General features: G+C 39.6%; 1 long non-coding RNA gene across 1 annotated transcript; it reads left to right on the top strand.

Moving 5' to 3' along the window:
- The first annotated feature begins 1969 nt into the window (after positions 1-1969).
- On the top strand, positions 1970-10506 carry LOC105377193 (uncharacterized). Its single transcript, XR_002959699.1, has 2 exons — positions 1970-2010; positions 10384-10506. It is a non-coding gene; the product is annotated as an uncharacterized LOC105377193 (long non-coding RNA).
- The last annotated feature ends 1052 nt before the right edge of the window (positions 10507-11558 follow it).

The raw sequence follows: 11558 nt of genomic DNA, 5'->3' as shown, positions 1-11558 counted from the left end.
TGCCACCCGGGTTCATGTGATTGTCCTGCCTCAGCTTCCTGAGTAGCTGGGATTACAGGCACATGCACCATGCCTGGCTAATTTTTGTATTTTAAGTAGAGATGGGGTTTCACCATATTGGTCAGGCTGGTCTCAAACTCCTGACCTTGTGATCCTCCCGTCTCAGCCTCCCAAAGTGCTGGGGTTACAGGCATGAGCCACCACACCCTGCTGAAGTTTTTGCTTTATGGCTACCCTGAGACTTACATAAAACACCGTCATATTATAATACCCTAATTTAAGCTGACAGTGACTTAACTTCAATTGCATACAAGACACTGCACTTTTAATTCTTTTCCTCCACAGGCTATGCTATTGATGTTGTATTTTACTTTAACATTTTATGCTATTAATATCATGCTATGGATGTATATTTTGTATCTGTTAATCAATCATAGCTTTTTTAAAAAATGAATTTTGTTTTTAACTCTTACACAAAAGAGTGATTTACAGACTACCTTTATAATATTAGAGTATTCTGAATTTGACTATATATTTACCTTTGCCAGTGAGTTTTATACTTTCATATGCTTCATATTGTTGCTTATCATTATTTTGTTTTAATGTGAAAACTTCCTTTAGCATTTCTCATAAGAGTAGTTTCATGGTGATGAACTCCTTCAGTTTTTTGCTTGTTTTGAATTTTTTTAACCTCCCCTTCATTTCTTTGTTTTGTTTTGTTTTTTGTTTTCAATATTTATTTATTTTGTATTTTCTATTTCTGAGATGGAGTCTTGCTCTGCTGTCCAGGCTAGAGTGCAGTGGTGTGATCTTGGCTCACTGTAGCCTCCACCTCCTGAGTTCAAGTGATTCTCCTGCCTTAGCCTCCCGAGTAGCTGGGACCACAGGCGCCCACCATCACACCCGGCTAATTTTTGTATTTTTAGTAGAGACGGGGTTTCACCATGTTGGCCAGGCTGGTCTCAAACTGACCTCAATTGATCCACCCACCTTGGCCTCCCAAAGTGCTGGGATTACAGACCTGAGCCACAGCGCCCAGCCCTTCAGTATTTATTTAAATTTGCCTGCTGGCTAACTTCTCATTGCACCTAGGCTCTAGTGTAATTAAATTACTTCATTCTCTCTTTTTAAAACTTTTTTCTTTTTTCTTTTTTGTGTTTTTCATTCTCTTATCTACGAGAGCCACAATACTTGAAGACACCAATTGATACCCCTTAGTCACATCTGAGCTAAACACTTTCAGTTCCTACAGCTGTTTCTTTTTTTCTCGCTTTTTTTTTTTTTTTTTAATTGATTATTCTTGGGTGTTTCTCTCAGAGGGGGATTTGGCAGGGTCACAGGACAATAGTGGAGGGAAGGTTAGCAGATAAACAAGGGAACAAAGGTCTCTGGTTTTCCTAGGCAGAGGACCCTGCGGCCTTCCGCAGTGTTTGTGTCCCTGAGTATTTGAGATTAGGGAGTGGTGATGACTCTTAAGGAGCATGCTGCCTTCAAGCATCTGTTTAACAAAGCACATGTTGCACCGCCCTTAATTCATTCAACCCTGAGTGGACACAGCACATGCCCCAGAGAGCACAGGGTTGGGGGCAGGGTCACAGATCAACAGCATCCCAAGGCAGAAGAACCTCTCCCAGTACAGAACAAAATGGAGTCTCCTATGTCTACTTCTTTGTACACAGACACAGCAACAATCTGATTTCTCTATCTTTTCCCCACCTTTCCTCCTTTTCTATTCCACAAAACCGCCATCGTCATCATGGCCTGTTCTCAATGAGCTGTTGGGTACACCTCCCTGACGGGGTGGTGGCCGGGCAGAGGGGCTCCTCACTTCCCAGAAGGGGTGGCTGGGCAGAGGCGCCCCCTACCTCCCGGACGGGGCGGCGACCGGGCGGGGGCTGACCCCCTACCTTCCTCCCGGACGGGGCGGCTGCCAGGCGGAGATGCTCCTCACTTCCTGGACGGGGCGGCTGCCGGGTGGAGGGGCTCCTCACTTCTCAGACGGGGCGGCCGGTAAGAGACTCTCCTCACCTCCCAGACGGGGTCGCGGCTGGGCAGAGACGCTCCTCACATCCCAGACGGGGCTGCGGGGCAGAGGCGCTCCCCACTCAGACGACAGGCGGCCGGGCAGAGACGCTCCTCACTTCCTAGACGGGATGGCGGCCGGGAAGAGGCGCTCCTCACTTCCCAGACTGGGCAGACGGGCAGAGGGGCTCCTCACATCCCAGACGATGGGCAGCCAGGCAGAGACACTCCTCACTTCCCAGACGGGATGGTGGCCGGGCAGAGGCTGCAATCTCGGCACTTTGGGAGGCCAAGGCAGGCGGCTGGGAGGTGGAGGTTGTAGCTAGCTGAGATCACGCCACTGCACTCCAGCCTGGGCAACATTGAGCCCTACAGCTGTTTCTTAATCTTAGGTCACATGGTTTCTTCCCATGCTGTTCTTCCCAGACAGCATTTTTTTTTTTTTTTGAGAGTCTCACTCTGTTGCCCAGGCTGGAGTGCAGCAGCACGATCTCAGTTTACTGCAACCTCTGCCTTCCAGGTTCAGGCGATTCTCCCCTTCATTTCAAAAGGACAGTTTTGCAAAGGATAATTTTTCTGTTTGGCTTCTCTTTTTTTCCTTTAGCACTTTGAATATGTCATCCCATTTTCTCTTGGCTTGAAAGATTTCTGTTGAAAATCTGCTGATGGCCTTATGAAAGATTCTTTACATGTGACAAGTTTCTTCTCTCTTGCTCTTTTGAAATCCTCTTTGACTTTTGGCAATTGGATTATAATGTGTCTTGGAGTGTTCTTTTTTTGATTTGATCTTGCTTACCATGCTTTGGACCTCCCGAATCTGCATGTCCACATCATTTCCAAAATTTTAGAAGTTCTCAGGCAATATTTCTTAGAATAAGCTTTCTTCCCCTTTCTATTTCTCTTCTCTTTCTGGTACTACCATAATTTATATACTTGCACATTTTGTTATGTTCTGTAGGCCCATATGTTTTTATTATTCTTTTTATATATATTTTTCTTTTTGTTCCTGTAATTGGCTAATTTCAAATGACCTGTTTTGAGTTCACTAATTCTTTCTTCCACATGGTTGAGTCTGCTGTTGAAATTGTCTGTTGAGTTTTTCAGTTCTGTCATTGATTTTTCTCAGCTCCAGAGATTCTTCTGTTTTTTTCTTGGGGGTGGGGAGTTGTTTCTATTTAATTATTAAACTTCTTATTTTGTTAATGCATTATTTTCTAATTTTATTTAGTTGTCTATATATTGTTGCATCTCACTGAGCTTCAAGATGATTATTCTGAATTTTTTTCCTGGCAATTCGTATATCTTCATTTCTTTGGAGTTGGTTATTGAAGCTTTATTGGTTTTCTTTGGTGGTAATATGTGTGCTTGATTCTTTGTTATCCATGCAGTCTTGCATTGGTGTCTGTATACTGGAAGTAGCAAACCCTTCTTTCATTGTTTACAGACTGGTTTCAGCAAGGGAAAATAATCTGTTTGGTCTCTGGGCTGATGGGATTGCCTGTGGGATAGCAGTTAAGTGGGATTGCATCTGGGTCTCATGGCTGATGCTGCATCTGCAATGGAGAATGCAGTGAGCAGGTCTGTTACCAGGGGCTCTATTGCATGTGGGTCCTATCTGGTCCCTGGGTAGACTGGACTTTCTCCAGTCCTTTGGTCTATGGATCTGTGCTATAATTAAGTCTCATTTCAGGGTTTGCAAATGGCAGGTCTGTTACCACATGCATGATGGATGTGGTTTTCACCAGGTCTCTGGAAGGGCTCCTGTTATATCACTGGATGAATCCTTGGGCTGGCTGTACTTTTCAAGTTGATGGCTAAAATGAGCTGGAACTGAGGCACGAGTTTATATGAGGCCACAGCTGAGACCGAAATCTTTAGGCCTGTCTCTGAGGCCATTAATAGGGTGTCTCCCAGCAGTTTTCCGAGTGAGCAGGCCTGCTTTCATACTGCAGTTGAGAAGTGATTGATAGAGCCAATTTCCAGGGCCACTTTAGGATTCACAGTGGGACTGAGGTCAGTGTGTCAGCCTGCAGAGCACTGTGGGACATGCCCCCTTCTGGGTCTCCAGGTGGACAGAACTGCTCTAAGTCTACAAACAAGAGGGACTGGGCCTGAGATCCAGGGCATTTGAGGATCTGCTGTGGGACAAATTGCCAAGCCTTCCACAGGAACTCAGACAGGCATATCTCAAAGTAGGATTCTTCCTGGGCAAACCTACTCTCAGATCACAGTTGAAAGATGGCTAAAACTGAGCGTCTGGGTTATTTCAGAATTTTCTGTGGGACCAGAATTGGCAAGCCGAGCCCATGTCACTGGTGGGCAAGACTCCTAGCATATCTCTATGTGGGCAAGATTGCTCCCAGACTGCCATTGTAAGGAGATGGAACTGAAATTCAGGGCCTTTTTAGAATCTAATATGGAATGGAGTTTGGCAAGCCTGACCAGGAGTCTCCCAGCAATTACCTGCATAGACAGGATATTAGTTAGTACTTAAAACTCTTTTCTTTTACTTTCCATTCCATTTCATGTTCCATTTGTCCACAATTAACTCCCCCCAAATTTACAACACATTGCTTAGTATGGGGACTTAATTTTTTATTCCCAAAGTGTTTGATCTTGCCTATATTTGATTGTTGTCATTTATTGTTGTTTATCACTAGATATGGAAATATTGAAAGACACCTCAGAGAAACCACTGGTTTAAAAACGTAACCCTTTCAGACTCTATTGATTAACAGAAATCCTGCTGCTTCTTTATGAATTAGAATTAGAATTATGACTGCAAACATTTAATACATCTTCTTTTACCTATTGGTTCTGTTGTATTAGGAACCCATAATGGTGAGGTAGTTTTCCCAATTTCCAGTTCATTGAAATGGTCATTGTGCCCTTGTAAAAGTTTCTTTTTTTTTTTCCTTAGGAACATAGATCAAGAAATCATCAACACAGTAAATTATAGGAATGGGAATTTTAAAATTTTGGAGGGAAGTTTTCAGGGTTATAATAAAATAAGTCATTCTCATTTTCAACAATCCATTTCCCAATCTTTTTTTTCTTTTTTTGGCTAGAAGAGAAACAGGTACCTTTTTTTTGTCATCAGAGCATAAACTAAAATTTGTAGAACATTTCTCCAAACCCACCAAGTGTTATTATATGCAAAATGTCATATTTAAGTCTTCTATAAGCTGTCCCACTATATTATTAGCCTCATCACTTCTTCTTTTTTTTTTTTTTTTTAAGGAATGTTGCTTTATCACCCAGGCTGCTGAAGTGCAGTGGCACGATCTCAGCTTACTGCAACCTCTACCTCCTGGGTTCAAGCAATTCTCCTGTCTCAGCCTCCCAAGTAGCTGAGACCACAGGCACATGCCTTGATGTCTGACTATTTTTTGTATTTTTAGTAGAGATGGGGTTTCACCATATTGGTCAGATTGGTCTTGAACTCTTGACCCGAGGTAATCCACCTGCCTTGGCCTCCAAATGTGCTGGGATTACAAGTGTGAGCCACTGTGCCTGGCTATGCTCACTTCTTCAGGATGATGGGGTACATAGTGATGTGAGTGATTCCCCTGAGAATGAATCTATTGCTTTACTACCTTGCTGTACATAAGCGACATAGGTTATCAGGGCAGCAAATCATTCATTTTGTGAATTCATAGATGAGAATGAGGTCCAAACATTGCAGACGGAGAAGTGGCGATACCGGTGGGGACAAATTGCTGCCACCCCTGTGACTGAAAACTAAAAGTTTATTAAACTGACACCAGAATTTACTGCTATATTTTCCTTCAGGAATATATACCATATGAAGGGCTTCTCTTTGGTTCTTGCTATGGGCATTTTAGTCATTAAGCAGTGGAGGTAGCCAGATTTACCTTGGTGAGGAGAAGTTTATGGACTTGAGGCTACACCACTTCTATACCAGCATTCATTCTCAGTTTGCTAATGATTCCACTGAATAAGCTAAAGGTAACAGGTAAAGAGGTTGGTGGACATTCACTGAATGAGAAATCTTACTATGTGATTATTGCAGATTTCTTTCACAGCATTTGTTTTTGAAAATATATACACAGATACTATATATATTTACCTACTTTGCCAGTTCTTGAGTTTTCTCCTTAATCTACACTAAACTTTTTCCCAGCCTTATAATTGTACAGTTTCTAAGGTATTTGTCATCCGCATAAATTATTAATCAACACATCTGATTGTTAGTATGGATGAATTAAGGTTCAAATGAATTATTGGAACCTCTGGGCAATTTGTTTCTCAAATGAAGTGAACAAACAGATGCCATACTCAAGGTTCTGCCCCCAAGGGGACTTCGCTGTTATATTTTATGTTTATGATGGCCAATTTTATGTGTGAACTTGACTGGACAGCAGGATGCCAAACTATTTGGCCTAACCTTATTCTGAGCATGTCTTTAATGGTGTTTTGAATGAGACTAACATTTGAATTGGTAGAATAAGTAAAGCAGATTGTCCTCCTTAATGTAGGTGGCCCTCATCTAATCAGTTGAAGGCCAGAAGAGAACAAAAAGGCTCATCCTCCCACGTTTAAGAGGGAACTCCTCCCGCCTGACTACTTAAGCTGAAACATCTGCTTTTCTTGCCTTTGGACTTGAACTAAAACTCAGCTCTTCTTGGCTCTTGAGCTTGCATATTCATGGGCTAAAGGACCAAAACTTACATCATTGGCTCTCCTGGTTCTCCAGCTTGCTGACTGCAAATTTGAGACTTCTGAGTCTCCCTCTCAATCAGTTTAGGTTGCTATAACATAATACTATAGATTAGGTGGCTTAAACAAGAAATATTTATTTCTCACAACTCTGAAAGCTGGAAGTTCTAGATTAAGGTTCCAGAATGGTTGGGTTCTTGGCGGCAGCCCTCTTTATTCCTAATTATGTCATCACGTGGCCTTCTTTGATGAATGCATGCTGAGAAAGGGGGTGGGGTGGGGAAGGGGGATACAGAAGGAGAGAGAAAGAGAGAGAGAGATAGAGGGAGAGGAGGAGAAAAAGAGAGAGAGAAAGGGAGAAGGGGAGAGAGAGAGACAGAGAGAGAGCGCTCATCTACTTCTCTTTTATAAGGGTGTTAATCCCATCATGAGGATTCCACCCTCAGAATCTAATCAAATTTTTATTACATTTCAAAGGCCCTACCACCAAATAGGATTACACTGGGGTTTGGAGTTTCAAGATATAAATGTAGGGGTTGGGGCACAAACATTTGGTCCACAGCAGCCTCCATAACCCCATAAGCCAATTCCTATCAGAATGGTTGTTTTTTTCTTTACCAGTCAATTGTTTTTTATGAAATCCCCTATGAGGCCATTGGATATGGACTGAAGAAGAGGTGGAAATTCAGGCAAAATAGATCTCATGAGAGTCTGAAATATTTGATCATAAAACTATTTGTGGTATCAGAATCTATAACAGCCCAACTGTAGGGCTTTATGGATCGGATAATAGCTAATTGTAATCATGTTGGAGAGCTCAGACCGTATGGTTACTAGGTAAGATAGCCCATCAAATCTCTACTGTGGGTTTCATAGCAAAGTTGATGTTTTTTTTTTTTTTTTTTTTTTCTTAAGGAGTTGTTATTTGTAGAAAAAGACATGGCTTTGCTCCCAAACCTAGATGTTTGCCAGGTTTTTATTCCCTGTATGAATTTGTACAGATATTGTATGTACTGTTGGATGTATTGAATCATAAGCTAGCACTTCAGTCTTATTTTGTTATAGACACCAACAAAAATAGCAACCTATGGAATTCTTATGAAATAGGTTAGTAATTAAAATTATTTATTTATTCATTTTGCTATTCTCCACCATGACCACTCAAATAAAGTCTCCAGATAGAGGATTTTATGATTTTTTTTCTAAACATTACATAACATGTTGGTATATTGGTTCATCTTTTTCAGTTCTAGAGTCTTTATGATCAATTTGCTACTTCCAAAGATACCCAATGTGAAAATTATTAATATTGCTATTTCAGTACCGCTGTCCATTTCAGTAACCATATTGGTTGTTAAATCAGTGGCTGTTAAGTGCTATAATTTGGCTTTGTCTACAGTGGGATACTGGTATGCCTATTAACATCAAGGAGCCCAGTCCTCATTAGTTAATCCATGCCTCATGAATACATCCAATGCAGAGAATGCAGAGTGCTTCAAGGGCGCTGGTACTTCCCTCACAAAAATATTTTCAATGCTTTCATGACAGGAATGTCCTCTGAGGATCTTCCAAGAGATAACAGAAATAATAAACCCATTTAAACATCCCTATATTTTTTAGCTTTGGCATTTGTTTATGAACATTAAGAAAGTTACACTAACTCAAATTCCTTTAACATAGGATACCATTTAGGTTGGATTTTGATTATCCAATCAAGCACAATAAGCCAATTAATACATTTATTCCAGAATCCCTAGTTAGTGTGTTCATACTTTCACATTCAGCCACTTTAAATGCATTTTTCTTTTCTTTTTCTTTTTTTAGACATATAGTAAGTATAACAACCATTCCTGTAATAAGTTCCTTAGAAACTAAGAATGAGATTTTTTTCAGATAACATAGAACATCTCAAACCAAAGAGCAAAATATCTACCTGTACTTCCATTAAAATCAGTTAAAAATGTCATGTATTATAATTTTTATTTGACATTGTTCTAGAGGTTACAACCAATGCATAAGATATGAAACAGAAATGTTGTATACAATAGACAGAAAATAATTTTCAGAAAAAGATAATATGCTTTGAAAGTGCAAATGAATTAATTAAAATTATTGAAAAAATAATCAAAGGATCGATATATTAGATGGATTTCAAGAACTTCCTTTTACATTAGACATGACTAATTAGGAAATAACATGGAAAATATTCCATCCACTAGATAAATAGCTATTAATGGAAATATTGCAAGAGTGATGAAATGTCTAAGTCATTATTTTTAGTTGGTAATTGTTGATAAATTTTGTTTCTTCTGTAGTTTTTATTATTTTATATTTTCTATATTGATCAAGTATAGCTTTTAGAATAAAAAGGCAATAAAACATTTAATAAAGCATTACTTTGTGTACACCTATACTCTTAGCTACTGGGGAGGCTGAGGTGGGAGGATGACTAGTACCAAAGAGGTAGAGGCTGCAGTGAGCTATGATTGCAACACTGCACTCCAGCCTGGGTGACAGAGCAAGACCCTCTCTCTAAAAAAAAACAAAGAAAATATTACCTTAGTAAGAAGTGACTTTGGGGACCTCCTCAGTTCACACTTGTAGTCTGCAAGCCATATTGTGAGAATCCCAGCTCTTAACTTCTTTTTTTTAAAATTTAATTTTATTTTATTATTTATTACTTATTATTTTATTATTATACTTTAAGTTTTAGGGTACATGTGCACAACGTGCAGGTTTGTTACATATGTATACATATGCCATGTTGGTGTGCTGTACCCATTAACTCCTCATTTAGCATTAGGTATATCTCCTAATGCTATCCCTCCCCCCTCCCCACACGCCAAAACAGTCCCCGGTGTGTGATGTTCCTCTTCCTGTGTCCATGTGTTCTCACTGTTCAATTTACACCTATGAGTGAGAACATGCAGTGTTTGGTTTTCTGTCCTTGCGATAGTTTGCTGTGAATGATGGTTTCCAGCTTCATCCATGTCCCTGCAAGAAAAAAACAAACAACATCATCAAAAAGTGGGTGAAGGATATGAACACACACTTCTCAAAAGAAGACATTTATGCAGCCAGAAAACAGATGAAAAAATGCTCATCATCACTGGCCATCAGAGAAATGCAAATCAAAACCACAAAGAGATACCATTTCACACCAGTTAGAATGGCGATCATTAAAAAGTCAGGAAACAACAGGTGCTGGAGAGGATGTGGAGAAATAGGAACACTTTTACACTGTTGGTGGGACTGTAAACTAGTTCAACCATTGTGGAAGTCAGTGTGGCAATTCCTCAAGGACTAAAAATACCATTTGACCCAGCCATCCCATTACTGGGTATATACCCAAAGGATTATAAATCATGCTGCTATAAAGACACATGCACAGGTATGTTTATTGAGGCACTATTCACAATAGCAAAGACTTGGAACCAACCCAAATGTCCAACAATGATAGACTGGATTAAGAAAATGTGGCACATATGCACCATGGAATACTATGCATTTTTCTTTCCTAATAGCTTTTCCACTTTAAGTATTTATTTACACACATATTCCCCCATATTCTGCTTGATATGAAGTGTCAAAACCTTGCACTTTTGGTGCAAATGCTATCTCTTCCAAGTAGACTTTGGGCCCATTTCCTTCAGCCATGATGAAATCTAACTCTAATTACAGTTTTGGAAGTAACAAGAAGGGATGAAATGAATATCATGAAGAAGAGTGACTGCTTCAAGTGAGGAAAGTACAGGATCTTCAAATGAAAGGATTGTAGCCTCCTCATGCAGAAGAAAAAAATGGGTAAGGTAGGATCATTGAATTTAGGTATTCAGCATACTCATGTTCATACAAATCCTCTCAAATGTCCTCAGTATGATATTCAGGTTATTGCTATTTCCCTATTACTGAAACATCTGGAGCAGACCTGAATTTAACTTGGTTGTAAATCTGTTATGCAGAATCAAACTTTAGATCTGGTTTCAGAAACAGAATTTTTAAAATAAGAGATAAAACATGCTTTCTGATAAACCACAGAAACATGGTCTCTGACTGTGCCTTTAACTAAGTATTTAAAGGACTAAACTTGTCATTTTATTGTTGTTGTTAATGTTCCAGTATAGTCAGAAAAATCTAGTGTATCTATAGTCATCATTCCTCCCCCAGCAATCTAGGGCAGCAGTTATTTGGTGTCTTGAGGCATTGTCTTTCATAGGCACTTCATTTATGGTCACCGCCAGTTGATGTAACTTTTGTCGTGACACTCCAGAGACCACCAGCATCCCATATTGCACAAGAGATGATCAGAGATTCTTATTACATTAAGATCCACAAATATCAGGTAGCATAAAAACATTAAACACACACACAAACACACATGTACACATAAAATTACATAAAATTATATATTTTCTTATTTTTCATTCCAAGGAATACCAGTGCTTATAACTGCTTTTGATATTTCAATCCTAATCCGATAAATGCCACTAAGGATTACAGAAATAATAAATTAAGACTGTTTAATTTTACAGGCAAAACTATGCCAAGAGTTGACTGTTTTTATTAGGTTGCATTTGCTCTTAAGGCAGTAGTGTCAACAGCTCAAAAAATAAAGGAAAATTATTGTAAAGAACCACACACAGCAAGCCTCAGGAAAAGTGGAATCCAGGGCAATTATGAAGGTTTCAGCCCAAGAAATTCTTAGATGTTCACTGTGGTATTTTGCCACCAGTGAGATATTAGCTACAATTTACTAAATCAGTATGTTAGTACTATTTAGTTCGACTTCCCAAATGAGATACATTTAAATAACTTTCCATGGGCCAGAGGGTCACATTTGAAACAATAAGCTATGA

The sequence above is a fragment of the Homo sapiens genome, chromosome 3, assembly GCF_000001405.40.
Source record: "Homo sapiens chromosome 3, GRCh38.p14 Primary Assembly".
Lineage (NCBI taxonomy): Eukaryota > Metazoa > Chordata > Mammalia > Primates > Hominidae > Homo > Homo sapiens.
The sequence above is the reverse complement of the archived record's forward strand: the minus strand, read 5'-3'. Positions and strand labels throughout refer to the sequence as shown.